The sequence below is a fragment of the Homo sapiens genome, chromosome 18 (genome assembly GCF_000001405.40).
Source record: "Homo sapiens chromosome 18, GRCh38.p14 Primary Assembly".
NCBI lineage: Eukaryota > Metazoa > Chordata > Mammalia > Primates > Hominidae > Homo > Homo sapiens.
In genome coordinates this window covers 64,122,655-64,143,061 of record NC_000018.10, presented here as the reverse complement: position 1 = coordinate 64,143,061, position 20,407 = coordinate 64,122,655, and the positions used below count along the sequence as shown (strand labels likewise).

Below are 20,407 nucleotides of genomic sequence, written 5' to 3'. Positions count from 1 at the left end.
TTCCCCTCATGGCACCCACTTTGCTTGTGCTTTGGTATGTTTGATCCTTTAAAATATGCAATGATTTTATTTCCATTAATGATAATGAATTGTAGTTTCTATTCTGTTTCTAACTTTTCAAATTGAACACTATTTTAAAAGTTCATCTATGTTGCAGTATGTTCATATAACCCATTGTTTCTGAGTGATTGGCGTTATTCTATGGCATGCATCCATCTCGTTTTACTTATTCATTCTCCTAGTTTTCAACACTAAGTTGCTTTCAACTACTCTCTACTACATGGAGAAGGTTCCTGGGGTTATATACAAGGTTCCTGGGGTTATATACAAGGAGTGGAATAGGGCGCAGGTGGCCATGGTGTATATACAAGAGTGGAATAGGGCGCGGGTGGCCATGGTGTAAGACACAGATTTTGTTTCACCAAGTCTTGTGTATCATGCTCCATGAGGGCTGCTCTGAGATGTGCTCCCACCAGCAGTGCCTGGGGGTCCCTGCAACACTAATTCATGCTTGTATTTGGTCTCCAGAGACTCATCAAGCACCAGAGTCCCATTTAGAAGTGGTGGGGATAACTGCCTCTTTGACTTTGTATCACTTTGTTACTTGCTTGTGCCAAGAGGCTCACAATCCTCTGGTAAATACAATTCCACCAGCATTGGACCCTCATTCCTCACTTACCCTGGATCCACCAGGCCAGGAAGGAAGGAGATGCTAGCCAGCCACTCCACTGCATCTATCTATCCCTCTCCAGGTAAAAGAGAATCTACATTCTTTTTCAACAACAACTTTTTTAAAAGCCTATTCAATTTCATAACATTTTATAACCTAGTCTCCATACCCAGACAGACTACATTCTCTTCTTCCAGTTATGAAATGAAAGCCCCATGCTGATTAAAACACGTATCCACATTGTTGGGGAAAATGTTGAGCCACCCCAACTCGCCACTCACCAGTGCACATAGACAGCAGCGTCTGAGCTGCAGCTCAGCCAGCAAAATGCCATTTCTTATGCTAGTTCCTACACAACTATGAATATAGGAGAAAATTTCATTCCAAGACCTTTATAGCTCAATAATGTACATCCCATTTTAGCTTAGAAACTGTGAAATGATCATGTTTTCAAGATCGTAAGATTAATCAGCCTTAAACATGCCATAAATATTTTGAGCTAGCTTCTCATTTTCACATAATCATGAAGTGAGAATATTCTCATTTAAAGTATGCATATAATGCTAAAGTACATTGTTTCATATGCGTGAGTATCATACCAAAGCGTTTTGAGAAAAGTTGCACTTCTGAAAAATCAACATCTCAGAATTATCAGAATTGAATCGAAGAACTCTTCTAAGGACAATAGTTCCAGTACATACAAGAGAGTTGAGTTATCATATTTAATAACTTATAGTTTATGACTTTTTTACCACATACACAGTCTTTTTGTTTCTTTACCATTCTTGGGAGGTAGATACTATCATTATCTCAACTTTGGGTGACTTGCATACAGTCACTGGGCCTGCGAATGATGGAATTGAGACTTAAACATTAACCAACAACTTTTTCCCCCTTTTTTATTTTCACTTTTTTCTACAACGATTATCTTTTAAGTAAAAGAGAATTCATGCTCGTTTTCAACAGTAACCTTTTTTAAAAACCTATTCAGTTTCACAGCTTTTGAGTGTATGTCTTATGTACATACACCCTTACTTTGTACTTCTCCATCTAATAGCAGATAGCTTAAGAAATCATTTGGTTCTTTCTGGATATCAAATCTGAAAACCCAAAATATACCTTAGGTGATTTATTTTATGCTTTATTATTTTTTTCTTTATTCGTCCATACTCAAAACAACATAAACTTATTATCTCACAGTTTTTATAGGTTAAAGGTGTGGTGGGCTCAGTTGAGTCGCTTCTTAAAGTTTCACAGGCCAAAAATCAGAGTGTCCACAGGCTGCACTCTTCTTCAGGCTCCAGGGAAGAATCATTTTTTTTTTTTTTTTTTTTTTTTTATCATTCAGGCTGATTATCGGCAGAATTTGGTTCCTTGCGGCGCTAGGTCTGAGGTTCCCATCGCCTTGCTGGCTGACAGCTGAGGGCCACTCTCCGCTTCCAAAGTACACCCAGCTGATGCCTCTCCTTCCTCCCCTGCAAAGCCAGCAACACTGCATCTCTCCGTGTCTTTCTTCCCTGGTCACATCTCTCTCCATGAACTCTCCTACCTCCCTTTTCTATTTTTGAGAAAATGAAGCCCATTTGATTATATCAGGCACACCCAGATAAGAAAAAATAATCTCCCCAAGGTCAGATGATTAGCAACCTTAACGCCATCTGCAAAGTCTCTCTTGCCATATATCGCATAACATAACCACGGCAGTAACACCAAAATCCTGTTGACCACGTGGATGTCTCAGGCTCTGCTCTAAACAGTAGGATCAAGAAGTCAACAAAACAAAGCTCTTGTCCTCAAGGAGCGTTCATTTTAGTTGGGGAGATGGAGAGGAAACTACTTAGACGGTCTCTACCATGTAGGGAAAAGTACTCTAAAGAAAATCAGGCTGGGTGCGGTGGCTCACACCTGTAATCCCAGCACTTCGGGAGGCCAATGCTGGTGGATCACCTGAGGTCACGTGTTCGAGACCAGCCTGGCCAACATGGTGAAACCCTGTCTCAACTAAAAACACAAAAATTAGCCAGGTGTGGTGGCAGGTGCCTGTAATCCCAGCTACTTGGGAGGGTGAGGCAGGAGAATCACTTGAACCAGGGAGGCAGAGGTTGCAGTGAGCTGACATCACACTACTGCACTCCAGCCTGGGTGACAGAGTGAGACTCTGTCTCAAAAAAAAAGAAAGAAAGAAAATCAAAGCAGAGAGTAAAGAGGAGGAGGAACGCAAGGTAATTCCGATTGGATAGTCAGAGAAGGCCTCTCTGATACATGAGCAGAGTCACAGAAAGTGGGAATTGGGAAAAGGGGCAGCCTGCTTGTCTGTGGGCCACACATCCTGAGTCGAGGGAATAGCAGATACAAGGTCTCCGAGGTGGGAGCAGTCTTTGTGTGTTTAAAGAAGAACAAGGTCAGTGTCACTGGAACAGCATGAAAGAGGGCAAGAGGGAGGATGGAGGCTTTGGGTCATGATGTGAGGGTCATCCTAAGGCCTTTAGCTATATTCTGAGTAAGACGGGTTGCTATTGGAAGATTGGGAAGAAAGGATCCACATGCTATAACATGTTCAAAAGGATTGCCTCAAGATTCTTGGAAGTTGTTTCTAGGAAGTTAAAAGGACAACTTCTAGACCTGCGACCGCTTCCTGCCATCCTGCACCCATCCATCCTGATAGAGAAGGGACTGGTTATAAACAGCAGATCTACACTGGATGCCTGTGCCTTACCTATTGCTTGCTTTATTGGTTTTTGTCTTCATTTACCATTTAATATTTATTTGACAGTGATTTTTCAAGATTAAAATACACACACATGTACATTGTTTTTTTCCAGGGGAAGACTCCTGAACTTGCCTCACCCAAAGATATGATGTACGCTTCAGACAATGCTGGACTGATGTGTTCAATTAAACAAATGCACCAATAAAATGCTGCATGTAAAAAGAGTAAACTGCCAGGGTTGCTCTGCTGTATCTAACCACAAACCAGGAGCACCAAAGTGGCTCTCCTAGGGATTTTATCAGGCTATACCTAGTACCCGTTTCCTACAGATTACAGGCATGACTTCATTTGAATGTATCCTCACCTAGCATCACTTTGTCCTTAATTATGTGAATAGGCACAGCAGTGTGATTTGAGGAAAGAAAGTAAAGATAACCTTGTTTAGAGGCTGCTGCTCTGAATGTATTTTCACTAAAGATCTGGTTCCTTGATTTTCAGGAGATTAAGAATTGAGCTGTTTGCTAAAAAGTATTTCAGACTTGATTTGGAATTTCAGTTTTTGATTGGAGGTGGAGTGCACGCAGAGGAAGAATGTTTGGAGGCTGTTAAAAGCATTGTCATTGGAAAGAAACTGTTCCCTGCAAAAGTTCTATTATGAGGAGTTGCCTGTGGCGGTTCTGGGTGTTTTTACTGGGGAGCTGACAGTTTTTACTGATACCGTCTGCATGCACTGGTTATCGGCTGTGCCCCGCACATACTCTTTGATTCATTTGGATAGGGTCATTTATTGCAAGCTTATTCAAGTCGTTCCAGGCGCACGACCAACATTATCTTCAAAAAACAATAAGTGGTGGTTGAGTTTTACATACTAAGAAAACACAGAGAGTCAAATAGAAGCTGACAAGCATCAGAAAAGATTCTGTCCGAAATTAAGTACTAAGTATGCCATGGCCAAGGGTTAGAAAATAACCACAAAAGCACCAAACCCGCTGCTGAATAAAAAATAGGCCCCCCAAAATGAGAAAAACGGTGAAGGAAAACAACCCGGAGTAGAACTAAAGCTGCTCTGCATTTTCACATGCCAAAAAAATCTCATCAGAAAAGAAATTGCAAACCAACAGTCAGATTGTTATGGACTGTGAAGAAATACACAGAAACTTGAGAAAGGGCTGTCAACTGTTCTATAAGCTGTAACACAGCAAAAGCAGCGTGTGATGTAAATAACATTTCCATAATAAGGTGCTTGACTTTTTACTTCTCACTTGTGTCCACTGACCTGAACTCAGGATTTATCATCAACTTTAAAACATTTTAAACAAAGACAATATTATTCTTTGGTGAATCAAATTCAAATAATAGTAGGCAGACAGAAAGACTACAGCACAATTCTGGACTTTTTTATTTTTTTCCTTTTTGGTGGGGAAAAAAAGAGGTAATGAGAGAGCAGCCCGGATCTTTCTTACTGATCAATTTTCCATTTCTTTCCTCATTCCCAGAATGCAACCATTTCCCTCACTTATGGAACCTGCAAACTGACTGCCTTCTCCATAGCTAATAATAGCATCCTGGATTCTGTTATCTACTTGATCTGCTGATCTGCAAACTGCTTCCCTGACAGCAATCTTGTTTTGTTTTCCCAGGGAAAGCCCAATAGCATTGACATTTGGAGAGGCAATCTGAAGAATTTCAGTTGAGGAAATTAATATTTCTCATCCAAATCAGGCAATACTCTAAAACAAAGAAAACTTTAAGGAGTTTAGTTCCTAAAAAGGGTGGGGGTGGTTCATAGAAGGAAAACTAGTGATTTATATTGTGTGTGTGTGTGTGTGTGTGTATGTGTGTGTATATTATTTAATGGCTTGTGTTTAACTCTCAGATAAATTCCTTTTTAGTAAATTCATATAGGTGTTCCTCTCTAAACGTTGTATAACTGATCTTAACAATGAGAGTTTAGGATTTCTGACAACTCATAGATATAAAATAGGAATTCTCTCAGTGTGACATAGCAGGACTCCAAAGACAGCTTTGCAAAGGAGAATCACTCCTCACCAACCCCAACTTCGGAATTTTAATTATGGATTTGAGTTGTTTAAAAGTGGTGCAACACTTTACTTTTGAAACAAGTCGTGAGCCTCTGACATATGATATCTGTGTCCACATATGTGCTCATAATTTAAAACATTTTGAAGAAAATATTATTCGTTGGTGAATCAAATTCAAATAATAGTAGACAGACAGAAAGACTATAGCTCATAACTGAAGTGCCACATCTGTTGCAATTTCCCAGGGTTGTCCTAACAAAGTGCCACAAACTGGGCGGCTTAAAATAACAGAAATGTGTTCTCTCACAGTTCTGGAGGCTAGAAGTCAAAAACGAAGGTGCTGGCAGGGCCATGCTCCATCCAAAGGCTCTAGCGAAAGATCCTTCTTTGCCTCTTCCAGCTTCTGGTGGTTGCCAGCAGTGCTTGCTGTCCCCTGGACTGTGGCTGCCTCACTCCAGTTTCCTCCTCAGCATCACATGGTGCTCTTGTTGTGTCTGTGTGTCCAGATTCCCCTATCCTCTCCCTTAGAAAGACACCAGTCACTAATTAAGACTCATGAGAATCCAATAGGATTGCATTTTAACTTGATTACATCTATAAAGACCCTATCTCCAAATAAGTCACATTATAGGTTCCACGTAGTCATGGATTTGGGGAGGGGTGCAGGTGGACGCTATGCAACCCAATGCAATGGCAAATCAAGTGAGCACCAAACAGCACCACTATCCTTCATGTCTTACGTAAGCTTTGATCAAGCCAGCATGTCCTTCAGTCCAGCGTGCCCTACACCTGTGTCCTGGACCACCTCTCAGGCTGCGTTACTTCCCTTCCTAAGGCACAACAGGGCCTAGAATCTAAGGACTTGCGCCACACACAAGCCAGGCTCCTAAGCTCCCAACTTGTAATTTCCTTCTTCATATTGTCTCTTCTGACAGCCCCACCATCTACTCTGTGTTCCACAGACTATTACTTAATTTCCACTCATTTCAGCCTTTGCAGCTGATAGGGTTTGGCTCTGTGTCCCCACCCAAATCTCACCTTGATTTGTAATAATCCGCAGGTGTCAAGGGTGGGACCAGGTGGAGATAATTGAATTATGGGGGTGGTTTGCCCCATGCTGTTCTCACGATAGTGAGTGAGTTCTCATGAGATCTGATGGTCTTATAAGGGGCTTCTCCCTTCTCTCCACTCTCATTCTCTCTTCTGCCGCCCTGTGAAGAGGTGCCTTCTGCCATGATTATAAGTTTCCTGAGGCCTCCCCAGCCATATGGAACTGTGAGTCCATTAAACCTCTTTCCTTTATAAACTACCCAGTTTCAAGTTTTCTTCATGGCAGCATGAGAACAGAGTAATACAACAAGCCAAGATTTTTCCAGTGTGGAAAACCCTCATCTGTACTTGGAAGGCAGATACCTAAACAAGTCCTGTATCATACACACACAATCAGTAAGGACGAAAACACATTTTTAACTAGCATTACTACAGTTAAAGCCTATGGAACTGCCTACCTCCTAAAACACCATCCTCCTGAGAAAGCAGGTGGAGGCACCACTGCCACATTCTTCCCTGAGGCCCCTCCAGAAGGGGTAGTCTGGGTAAGCACCTGGTCGGAGCTGGGCCATTAGATGCAAGCCCTGCTGATTATTCAAACTTGAATGAAGTCCTCCACGTCCGTCCCTCCCCATGCCCACCCTCAGAAGAATTGTAAGATGCCAGCAGTCTTTTGTTACGTGGGAAACCAATCTATAATGAAAGAAAATAGGCCAGGCACAGTGGCTCATGCCTTTAATCTCAGCACTTTGGGAAGCCGAGGCAGGCCTGGAGGTCAGGAGTGCCAGAACAACATGGCCAACATGGTGAAACCTGTCTCTACTAAAAATATAAAAAATTGCCAGGCATGGTGGTGGCAGCCTGTAATCCCAGCTACTCGGGAGGCTGAGGCAGGAGAATCACTAGAACCCGGGAGGTGGAGGCTGCAGCGAGCTGAGATCCTACCACTGCACTCCAGCCTGGGCAACAGAGCGAGACTCTGTCTCAAAATAAAAAAGAAAATAAAGCTGAAACAAAGCAAAGTGGAACAAAGGGAGAAAGCACGCTGCCAACATTGAAGGGCCTGAGCTGCATCTCTGTCATTCCCTGTTCCTGGATTGTGCCAACAAATTCCTCCCTTTATGCCAAAACCATGTACATTTGTGTTTCTGTCCCTAAAAACCTCAGGGTTACTGACTGGCACATATATAGCCTTAACAAAATGTTCAAGCTGAAAAGAAAGAAGTCGGATGTCATTATGGGTTAAACTGTGCCCACCTCCCAAAACCACATGCTGGAGTCCTAATGTCTGGAGCCTTAGGATGTTACCTTATTTTGGAGACAGGGTTTTCACAAAGCTGTTCATATTAAAATGAGGTCATTAGGGTGGGCCCTAATCTAATATGACCGGTGTCCTTATAAAAAGGGGTAATTTGGACAAAGACACAGACACACAAAGAGAACACGTTGTGAAAAGACACAAGGACAAGACAGCCACAGATGAACCAGAGACAGGCCTGGAACACGGTTCCCCACAGTGGTCAAAAGGAACGGATACTGCTGATGCCTTGATTTCGGACTTCCAGTTTCCAGAACCATGAGACAATAAACTTTGGTTGTTCAAGTTCCCCAACTTGTGGTACTTTATTACAGCAGCTCAAGCAAACGAATGCAGACATTATCTGTTAACTCCTTCATGACAAGTAAGGAAACAGGCCCAGAGAGCTTAGCCTGATTGTTTCAATTCCTGTTGTAAGAGCTAGAATCAGAATGTAGACCTCATAATTTATAACTCGATGTTGATTTTCATAATTTTACCCTAATTCATAGTCCAAAAGTTTTCCTGAAAACTTCACATGTACACTTTTGTTTTGGGAAAATATTACAATGATAATAATAAATCTGACAAGTAAATAAATTGTGAGAAAGAAAATGACGTAACTTGGACCCCCCTATTTTATAACAGCTGTCATAATATCCAGATCAGATCTTTTGGTTAAACATTCTCATTTAAAACCAATTTAGATAAATAATGATGAGTCATTTCACAAAGAAACAGCTTGGGGCGAAATAAACAAGATTGACTAAAAGGTAGGTATGCAGAGCATGTCAGACCTCATGCTGAGCTTGAGCGTTTTCCTACCATTGCTCCAGAAAAAAACAAAAGCATTTTCTTCTCCAGCTAGGGAAGCAGAGAAGTCATATTTTCTCAATAAAGAAAAACAAATCTTGATCAGTTCAAGAAAATTTGTTTATATAAATACTGGACATAATTATGAAACTGTGATTTGCCTGCTGTTTTCCTGCTAATAAGAACTTTTTTCCCTCCCCAAATAACATTCACCAGCTGTAGACAACTTCCTTGTTTTCCTGCTATTCTTGTTTGCCAGGGTTTCCATATATGAATGCCCTAAAAGTGACGAATTTACCTTGGTGATTTTGAGTGATATTTTTCTTACAGTATCACAGGATGCTTGATATATTTATATTGAACTAATCTTCCATAATTTAAGAGTCTAGCGTGGTACAAAAGAAATTAAAAATCTTTTTGTCTGAAGCCCCTCCGATGTTTAATACCTTAAAAACTATATTTCTCAAATATTTATTATGCATGTATACTTTTTAAAAAACACTATAATAAATGTTATGTTATTCAAGTATTTACTATTTTATATGAAGCTGGTTTCATCTAGGGTAAAGTTCTACTTTGACATTTAGGAAAAGGGAAAACTGAATGTTTTCAGCCAGAAAAGAACGATAATAGATTTGGATTTTGAAAGATTAAGTTATAAACCATGAAAATGACATGTTGAAAGACCTTTTTTGTTGTTCTATGAAATGGGAAAATCAGGAAGAGTTTCCAAGGCAGGTGTGATTTAAGCTGCTCCTGAAGAAGTAAGTAGGATTTTTACCATGGAGTATGTAAGGAAAAAAACATCACTGGCTCTAGAAATAGGCCTGTGCAAGACAAACAAAGTAAAGGCAAGATGCTCACTTAGGACACTCCATGTCTGTGGTTGGAGGTCAGAGTAGAAAGATAGAAAGGAATTCGTTTCTGGGAGCCTATCTGTGGCCTCCTCACAGCTGGGGTTTTATTCTGTAGGTGACTTTAATGAGGAGTCACTTATGACTTACATTTTAAAAACATCATTCTGGCCTCAGGGTGGAAGATGGATTAGAGAGGAGTAAGTCTGGAGGTAGAGTCTTTCTCTCAGCTCTTAAAACTAAAAATTTATTTAGGACTCTAAACTCCCACCCAAATCTGACTGCTCTTCTCCATCCACCTCTGGTCTGGGTACTTGTTGTAATTCACTTAGAGTCAATTAATGCAATAGATTCCTCCCCAAACTATATGTCCTCTCTTCTCTGTTCCTTACATTGGCCAGCATAGCACACAGCCAGAAATGTTAGCAGATGGCTTAAAATCCTCCACTGGCACCTCATCTCCTATGCAACCAGTGCCAACCTCTGAGACTGCTCTGAGACTTCCCTCTGAGGCTTCTCAGGTAATGAGCAAAGGGATGTAAACAACCCAAAATTGGCAACAGTGACAACAGGAGGCTCTTCTGGCTGAGCTTCTGCCATATCGTGTCTGAAGTCCCAGCTGTTCCCCTGGAACCATGTGGAGGAATCACTAATTCTCTCGACTTTGCTTGTCAGCACAGCTGGCCACACAGCCAGGCCCTCCATCTTTCCTGACTTTATTCTGGTTGTGAAGTCATGCTGGGATGGTGTCACCCTCAAAAGACTAAGGCAGAAGCCACCCAGAGAGTCCTCAGCACTTCCTGGGCATGACACCTCAGCCATTTTTCCAGCACTGCTATGCCCACAGCAAACACCCCTTGTCCTCTGGTAGGAACCAAGACCTTCTCTTCTCTGCTCTTCCCAGCTCCAGAGAGGTCAGGTTGGGCCCAGGAGAATCATGGAGCTGTGGCTAAACTCATACACTATGGAGCCAGGCTACACTGCATACTAATTCAGAATCTGCCACTCAGTGGGAATGTGGTCTAAAGTTAACTTTACTAAGCTCTGTATTTTGTGTTTTGTTTTTCTTATAAAGGGTGAATACAATTATGGTATCCATGAGTTACTCGGGGGGGGAGTGGAAATTATCTAAGGTTTATACAAGGTGACGTATGTACGGAATTCGGCAGAGCGCTTGAAACAGATCATTATTGAATATGTGCAAATAATTAATATAATGAGGCACCCCTTTTTATCATCACACACATATAGACATAAGGAACCAAGAGAAAATAAAGTAATTCTCAAGCGTTTAAAATTAATTATCTCTTAATCTATTTAACAATAGAGCTACTGCTAATTGCTTTGCTCATGCAAATGCCCTAGAATAATTCTGCCTGTCTGTCTTTTGGAGAAATCACTTAAAATGATGTTTTTCTTTCCTAAGGCTTTCATTGATTCCTACCAAATATAGGTAAATTATAAGGCAGTCTCCCAACTTCCTTCAGTTTTTATGTAAATAAATGCAACAATTATTTACATTAAGCCAAAAATTTACATTTTACTTAAAATTGGCATTATTCTTTTATTATAAAACAAAATAAAAATACTTTCTATTGCAACTACATCAATAATGGAAAAATAAAGAACACCCTTGAATCCAGGGGACAAAGAAGCAGGCTACAAAAATTAGAGACTTTTTTCAATTTGGGGAAGATAATTTACTTCTTCCATGTTTATTTCAAATAGTGCAAGAATGTGAGCCATCTTGGCATTATCCAGTCCCCATTTCTGATGACACTTCTGGAGCTATCTTCACATAGCACATTGCCTTCCACAATTCAACCACCTACAGGAGACTTGTTCTCGGGTTTGCCTGCTTGTTGCACCAAATCCCTAACGAGTGATGCTACAACATTTCTAGTACTTTGCTAGCAATCACCGCCATCTCCTCATCTATAAATTACCATCATAGGCTATCCCTTATTCCACTGAAATATTGTGAGAAACCATTATATAAATGCTGTTTGAGCCCTTCATGGACAGATGCTATATATAAGAACAAAATTGTTGGCTTTGTATTTCAAATCTGAACTACATGACATACCAACAATACAGAAGCAGGCACTTTCCTCTGACATAAATGGATGATTTATCATTTCTCTCCTGCAGCTGCCCAATTCACTTCCTTTCAATTTTCCTATGTAGATTTAGCTTTTCCTATCTGAATGATCTCTGTCAATGGGTAATTTAAATTTCTCAACAGATGTCACATAAGCCAAGCGTGAATACTTTTTAGGTACAAGTCAAATTTGCAGCATAGTGTATAGAAGTCAAGGTTTCCATTATAATCTAAAATGATAAAGAAATGAATACCGCATTTTAAAAATAAATGGTAGCATGTAGTTCCAACGTTTAGTCATGAATATTATTCAAGTTGTTTAAAAAGAAACTCTTTTAGTAACACATATCAATTGATGAACGTATTATTTCTATCTTTTAACCTGTAAGATCTCACATTTTTGTAGCAGGGCTTCTACATAATAGCACAACACAGGAGTCTACGAGTTAGGTAAGCTGCAAAGAAAGATCTAAGTGAGATGCCTCCCCCTTTTCATTGGTCTGTGAACATCAACACAAGTTGACAGTTGAAATTTAAATCCATGGCCAACCACCTCTGTTAGCTGTCCTTTACCTACAGACTAAAGCCCCATTTCATAGGATGGTATGAAAGGTCTTTCACAATAGCGTCTCCCCTACCTCTCCAAGTTTATCTACCATATCTCCTTCCTATGCAACATGAACATCTCAATCTTTCTTAAACAAGCAATTATTGAACAAGGTGGTTCAATAATCTGGAATGTCATTGCCCTTTCCACTTCTGTCTACCAGGAAACTCATATTAATATTTTCAACTGAATTCATCAATTACAGCACAAATATCAACCCTTCTGTGAAGATTGTACTGAATTTCTTAGTACAGAGCTGATGAATCCCTCCTCTCTGTTTCCATAGACCTTTTTCAAACTTTTATTTCAGTTAGTCCATTATGTAAAAAAAGTTTACTTATCGATCTTTTAATGCATAAGGTAAGTAAAATTTATTGGGAAAAAAATGTTTTCTTTTGCTATGTATTTTTTTGGAAATGTGTTTGGCGCACAGTAAGTAATATATTATTGATTGATTGGGTAACTGAAAAGGTAGAACAGGTGGATGATAATGATTATTCTTTTGATTGGCAGAATGGCAGAACTTAAAATAAGAGATTTAAAACACACAGAAATTGTAAGAAAAAGGGACCTAATTATTCTCCAATGTGCTAAGCACATAATACATAAAATTGAGTAAACAATCACTGAGCACATATTATGTATAAAGCCTTGAACTAAGAATGAGAAGCACAAAAATAAAAGCATAGTATCTCCAAATTTATGAAATGCACAAACTACTGAAGGTACATAGAATGCATTAAAGTAAGTTTTGTATTTATTTTGGCTTATCATCCATGGTATATAGGGTAAAAGAGAGTGTTGTAGGAGATATATCTAATGTAAATGATGAGTTAATGGGTGCAGCACACCAACATGGCACATGTATACATATGTAACAAACCTGCACGTTGTGCACATGTACCCTAGAACTTAAAGTATAATTAAAAAAAAAAAAAGAAAATGACATGCACAGACAATTGAAAACTGGCATATACTCCAAGCAGTCTTCTCAACATTTAACTTTAAGCCCCTTTTTCTTTTTCTAGTTAATTTGTTTTGCGAAATGAGTGTTTTGAATTTAACCTCTTTCTGCCTTTACCAATTCTACAAAATAAACATGTTCATGTGAAATGGCTACAAGGAAGCTACAAAAAAGAAGCAGTTGGAAAGATTGCAATTGTCCATGAACTAAGTAAATATCACATAAGGCAAAATGTAAAATAAGAATAATATTATAATGGATATTTTCAGATTTCCTTTTCTCATATCTAACCAGGTCAACTTTAAAGGTTTGCAAACCTCAGCAGAAGATTCCTGAATAGGAAACATGGACAATTAAATGGATTTTTAATATTTATTCAAATCTATTTTTATTTTAATAATAAGAAATGTCAGTTCTAACTTCAGAGGAATAACAGCAAAAGTATGGAAGTTGTTCAGTAGAACACTGTGAAGCATTGGGGCATCCCTGCAGCTCTTGGTACCCAAGGCCCTTAGCACAGCCAAGAACAGAACATGCTCCATTTAGGTATGATTTTTTAAAAACCTATCCCCATACCCCCAATTTTTTAATGCAACTTCTAACATTAAATCATATTAAAAAGAATACAATTTTAAAATTAGCAAATCAGTCATTTAAGAGGAAAGACAGACACATCAAATAGCTTGCATAATTTTATTGTTCAACTAGGTGTTAATTTTAGTACTAGAATTCCAGAAAGTCAAAGTAAAAAGAAAACTACATTGCAATGTATTCCTTCTACCTAATTAAAAGAAACAAGAGCCTTTTAGTTTTTGTCTTCCTTGGAAAGTAAATTACATTCCCAGAATAAGGCACTCTTGAAGAAATTTAAAAATGTATCGCATGAATTCTGTAATAAGAGAAAATGGACTCATAATAGACAATATCTTCCACTGAAGTTTTATAAAAGATCCAAAGCAACCAATAAAAAAGTATTTTTACAATTGATCCCGTGTAAAAGACAGCCCACTCAGGTTCTCCACTCCTCATTTCAGGGACAATATTTAAAATATTTAACAACAGAATGGCAGAAGCCTCAGTATTGGTGCAGAGTTCCGGAAGAATCTTGCTGTGTCAGGGTTATTTCTTTTATTTGCTGGATTGTGGGAATCTCCTGGGATCCTGAGGGAGGTTCTTTGACCGGAAGGGAGTTACTTAGGAGGCTGAATGCAGTGACTATTTATCAACTGGCATAGAAGTATTTTAATATTTTAACAATTGGTATGGCCATGCCCATACACGCAGCAGTGTATGTAAGTCTAGAGTGGGATATGAAATACTACCTGTGACCAGAAGAGCAAATAAATCATAAATTCAGAGAATTTCTCCCAGCACTCCACCCCAATAATTTTAAGGTGATGGCTGGCTGCGATTTTCATTTCAGTGCTCCCAGGTAAATCAAAGGCAGCTGCCAGTCATGTTGAACACACCCACCAAGACTGTAGTTGTGAAGCTTTAAATAAAATAACATCTTGCAGTAGGTAAAGGTTTTTCAACTTCCTTTTCAGTTTATGTTAAGAGCAGTTCAAGATTGTGACCTGGAGGTGACAGGTGACAGGTGGCAGGTGATGGTGTCACAGACTAAGAATTTATATCTTTTCCATTCACCTCATTTGGGTCAAATAAGCCAAGTTGATGAATAGCTAGGCTCTTTCTACATTGCACAAGTAGCTCAGGAATCTTGCAAATATCACTCTTCCAGAGAATCACCTTTTCTATTTAAATCTTTAGAAAGTCAAGCTACATTGAATGTAAGTGACTTGGGTTGTTCATTTTGCAAAACAATTAGACAGACACCATTATTTGATTTAATCTGACACTTTACATTAGTCTCATGCAGTGACATTGGATGTCATTGATAGCAACCTTAAAAAAGAAAAAAAACCCAAAAGAAGGAAAAGATTTCTTACTGGAGTAACCTAGTTCTACCTTGAGAGCTCAGCATGTAAAACTGAAATCAACCTCCCTCCTCCCAAAATTAGCTCAGTTACAAAAACCCAAACTTCCTCATTCCTAGCATGTTCAGGGCCCTCTACATGAGAATAAAATTTAGAAAATAGAGTAATCCACGAGAGAAATTCAGCCCTATTATTTAAGGATGTTGGATGAGAATAGCAATGCAGAAACACACATGGGAAAACATGGGTTACTAATGACAACCATCCCACATAGCAGGTAGAAGTTCGAACAGAGATTGGGTCCATTGGGCTGGCTTCCAGGGACTTGATAAAGGGGTTGCTTCCTTGGTTATCTTACCATGACCTGAGGCTGATTCCAGGCATACTGTGTGAAAATAGGCACTCTCTGTTCACACACATCTCTGGACAGAACACATATAAACCAGGTTTTTCAGGATGAAACCAGGCTGATAATTCATTAAGCTACAAGGAGGCATGAGACTATTTGGACTGAGACATGGGCATTGGCAAGGACTTGGCCATTGAGATTTTAGCCTTCAGTGTCAATTTCACTTACCAGTGGTGTGGCCTTGGCACCGTACCTCACGTCCCTGAAAGCCTCAGAGTTTCATCTGCAAGATAAGGGTAATGAAATTACCTCATGTCATTATTGTGAGAGGTTAATAAGTGATACATGTAAAATGTTTACCACAGGGCTAAGCCACAAAGCACATGTTCAGAACCTGAGAAAGCAGGTATTAAAGAAAGCAGAACTATAGAAAGTATATTATAATACCTGTAATATAGCAGTGACAAGGGACCCTAAATATTGAGATGAGGGAGCAAAAATTAAGGATAAATTATTGTTTATTTCTGATGTTATTTTGGACACCTAACATGTTATTTGGTTTCAAAATTGGTTACTTGGCAGGGGGCGGGGAGGAAGGTTACTCTTCCATTGATCTGTAACTGGGATATATGTAGTTAAGATTTAAAAAATTTTCTAGACCATGTAACAAACATGCACATGTACCTCCGAATCTAAAATAAAAGTTGGAAAAAAATTTTCCTGCAATCAAAAGTGCTTAATGTCTGAAATATTTTCCTTACCTGATTAGAGACAATGAGGTTTAAGTAATTCTATGAATATTATAATTTTTGGCAATTTAATACAGTGGACTGATAAAAATCCTAAATCAAGAGTAGTTATTTGGAGAGATCTCCTGAGTGCTTAACATTACACTTGGGGGTGAGAGATGTAAAGATGAAAAGTCTGTAAGCAACATGAAACTACAGCTGGACACGCTTTGATCACCACTCAATCACTCAATCTCAAGCATTAATTTGATCATTAAGATGCATCTCATAAACATTTGTGGAATGAATGAGCCAGTCTCAGAATTCCCATACTAAGAAGGGAAGGAGATGAATGAATAAATTATTAAGGGCAGCTCTGAGCAATCCTATATCTCAGTGAACAGCTCCTTGTTCATAGAGGCTGAGCGAGAGCCTATGTTGGTCAGCATGTCTAACCGAATGGCCGAGAAGGGGCCTAATAATGCCTATTTCGATTTTAGAGAAAAAAATAGTAGTCCCTTAGCGTATCTTATAAAATAGCTGCTATTCTTTTTCTTGTGAAAAAAATATAATTACTGTAATTTTTTTAAGAAAGTATGTTCATTGCAGAAAATTTTTAAAATATAGAAAATAATAAAGGAATTGAAATCACTTATAATGCTATCATCTAGAAATGATCCTTATGAAGAAGGTTTTAGTATAATTACTTCAACTGTATGAATGATAATTGGAACAGAGGGAAGATTCAAGAAGGAGAGGCCATATGAGAAGCTATCATCACCATCTAATTGCAAGGTAGCTCAGTCTACTTGTGCTGCGGTAACAAAATATCACAGACTGGGTAAATTATAATGAATCAAAATTTATTTGTTCATGGTTCTGGAGGCTGAGAAGCCCAAGATCAAGGAAACAGTGTCCAGGAAGGATTTTCTTTCTGTGTGATCTCACAGTTCTGGAGGCTGAGAAGCCCAAGATCAAGGAAATAGTGTCCAGGAAGGATTTTCTTTCTGTGTGATCTCACAGTAGAGGGACAAAAGAGAGTGAGACAGAGAAAAGAACCAAACTCTCCCTTTTATAATTACTGCAATAACAAACCCACTCCCCCTGATAATGGCATTAATCCATTCATGCCTAATCACCTCCCATTAGGCCCCAGCTCCCAACACTGTTGCATTGGGCGTTAAGTTTTCATTGCATGGTTTTGGGGCAACACATTCAAACCATAGCACAAGGTAATAAGTATCAGACTCACTGTAAAAGGATTGAGGAAAGGAGGATAACAGGACAAATTTAAGAGACAGAAAGATAGATTTAAGACATATATGGATGGATTTAAGATACACATGTATGTATATATTTTCCTTTTTAAGTAAAAAAAAATTGCGACATACTTAATGTATCTCATTAAACATATTGCAATGATAATTAGTTCAAAAGATTAACCATGTAATGCTACTGGTATAATTAAGGGATAAATATTTGAGAATACGAATTAAGATAAGAGTAATAATCTTCAGGGATTTTTTTTTATTTAATTGTGAAAGAAAGGCCAGTATCTATTTTAGAGACTTGGAACTGAAATGTGGGTGAGAAATTAAGATGAGGGGAAAAGATACTGGGAGCACTGGGGTATGAGTGGTAGCAGATGCCCAGGGAATCACTGAGTCACTGAGAAGCTGAGTGCTAAAGGCAGGGTGAAGGGGGAACAGACTTTTACAAGTTGTCCTCAGCTAGAAAACCAGGACAAGGCAAATGAAAAACTAGAAGCAGGAAATAAATAGTTTAAGTGTGGAGGCAACAATTTCATGTCTTAGCAAGATTTCAAGGATGAATGTTGGTGGTAAGACAGTTATTTACATGCTTTTGATTGAAAATATTCTACAACTCACTGTGAGCAGTGTCAGAGTACTAGTAATTAATGGAAATGATGGATGGTTAGGAAAAGAAAACAATGAATATATACCATAGGTTCATCAGATCAAAAAGTGCTTTCATTGAAATTAATTCAGAGCAAAAAGATATTGAATTTGGTGTTAGACTTCCTAGGTTAGAAGCCTGGTCATTCCACTGATGAGATGCAGGATTCTAGACAGTTTATTTAATCTCTCTGTGCTTCTGTTTTCTTCTAAAAATCAGGAAAAATAAGACAACCACCTCACAAAGGTAGATGTGAGGATTAAATAAGCACCTATAAAGCACTTAATTCAGTGCCTGATACATAGTGACTGCTATGTAATTGTTTGGCAGTATCATCATCATCGTTATTATTAAATGATTAATAAGATTTTATTAGAGATCAAGAGCTCAAATTTAATACAACAAACATTTTCTTAGCATTTTATAAATGCAATTACTAGGAAGAGCCATTGGGACATATTAAGACTTGTGTTTGGCCTCAATTCATTTTTTAAAAAATTTAATCAGTTTGGCAACAAGCTTTTACTGAGTGTCTAGATATGCCAGGTGTTCTACCTGGCAGAGCATGGAGACAATAACATGGTGTGATTTTAGCACAGGGTGATTAGTGCCATGACAGAGGCACACACAGGTGCTATAGGACCACAGAGTAGTCATCTTTTAGTCAGGAAGATGTCTGTGAACTCTTCCTTAAGGACATGAGGAAAACCAGTTGAGAGAGATACAGAACTGCAGGCTGGCCATTCAGCCATTACATTCAACCAGCTAGGTTCTGATCCGTGGATGACCATGCCATGCAGAGCTTAAATACTGTGACTGTCATTCCTGGAGAAGTACAAGACTAATCTGAGGTGTGTGGATAAGTGAGGAGCAAGGGGAATATCTCAGAAGGCTTTTGGGAAGAGGTAGTTCTTAGAGTTGCTATAACAGAGTGCCTGAGACTGGGTAGTTTATAAGGAAAATAAGTTTATTTAACTCATGATTCTGGTGACTGGAAAGCTCAAGACTGGGTACCTGCATCTGGTAAGGGCCTCACCTCCAAAAGCAGAAGGGAGCCAGTGTGTGCCAAGAGATTACGTGGTGAGAGATGGGCGGGTTCCTATGGGGACAGAGGAAGTGGAGGAGGGTGCTGTCAGGATCTTTTTAACAGCCAGCTCTCAAGTAACAAATACAGCAAGAACTCCCTCATTCTTGACAGAGGGCATTAATCTTTTCATAATTAATCCACCCACATGACCCAAATACCTCCTACCAGGCCCTGCCTTCCAACATTGCCACCTTGGGAATCAAATTGGAACATGAGGTTTGAAGAGGACAAACATCCAAATCATAGCACATGGACCCTGAATGATAATGCATTAACGTATAGAAATGTGAAAGGAAAGAGCATTCTTAAAAAAAAATAAATAAAATAGGATAAGCCAAAGGGGAAGGTTGGGGTAAGTGAGAAGAAAAGCATGTAGAATATGTATTGAGGTACTGCTGCTATGTGAATTTATTAGCAGAGAAAGGGGTACAGTGTGATTTTTTTAAAAAAAGACTGGGCATTTTCAGAGGGCCTGGTGGCATAGGAAGGCCATTTTTGGATTAAGTAGTCTGATTTGATTCTGAAATTTATGAGTCTTAAATATTCCTAAAAAAGAAGTGCATTATCAGAAGATAATTCCAAGTTCATTATGAAGGAGCTAGTGGAAGTAGAGTGGCATATTTGGCTATGACTACAATCCAGATGAAAAGAGAAGAGATAAACTAGGGAAGTTGCTTAGGAAGACCAAGAAGAGGTAACCGCTTTCACCACTTCTATTCAACATAGTACTAAAAATCCTAGCCAGATAAACCAGGCAAGGAAAAGAAATTAAAGGCATCCAAACTGGATAAAAGGAAGTCAAGTTATTCCTGTTCACTGATTATATAATCTTACATCTAGAAAAACTAAAGACTCCACCAAAAATCTCTAGATTTGATAAATGAATTCAGCAGGATGCAAAATCAGTGTACAAAAATCAGTATTAATTCTATATACCAATTACAATCTGAGAACCAAATCAAGAAGACAATCCCATTTACAATAGCTACAAAAAATAATGAAATATCTAAGTATATATTTAACTAAGAAGGTAAAATATTTCTACAAGGAAAAATAGAAAATGCTGATGAAAGAAATCATAGATAAAACAAACAAATGGAAAAACATCTCCTGCTCATGGATTGGAAGAATTAATATTGATATCATTAAAATGACAATCCTGCTCAAGGCAATCTACAGAGTTAATGTAATCTCTATCAAAATACCAACATCATTTTTCACAGAATTAGAAAAACAATCATAATATTCATACGGAACACGAAAAGAGCCCAAATTGCCAAA

At 38.7% G+C, this 20,407-nt stretch overlaps 2 long non-coding RNA genes across 7 annotated transcripts in view; one reads left to right on the top strand and one right to left on the bottom strand.

The window, feature by feature from the left end:
- LINC00305 (long intergenic non-protein coding RNA 305) overlaps positions 1-20,407 on the top strand; it is a 69,094-nt gene that overhangs the window by 6,027 nt on the left and 42,660 nt on the right. The gene's annotated exons all lie outside the window — the stretch shown is intronic.
- Positions 1-20,407, bottom strand: part of LINC01924 (long intergenic non-protein coding RNA 1924) — a 319,511-nt gene that overhangs the window by 280,540 nt on the left and 18,564 nt on the right. Inside the window, exon 2 of the long non-coding RNA NR_033881.1 lies at positions 15,623-15,677. This is a non-coding gene — a long non-coding RNA (long intergenic non-protein coding RNA 1924). The remainder of the gene's footprint in view (positions 1-15,622; positions 15,678-20,407) is intronic.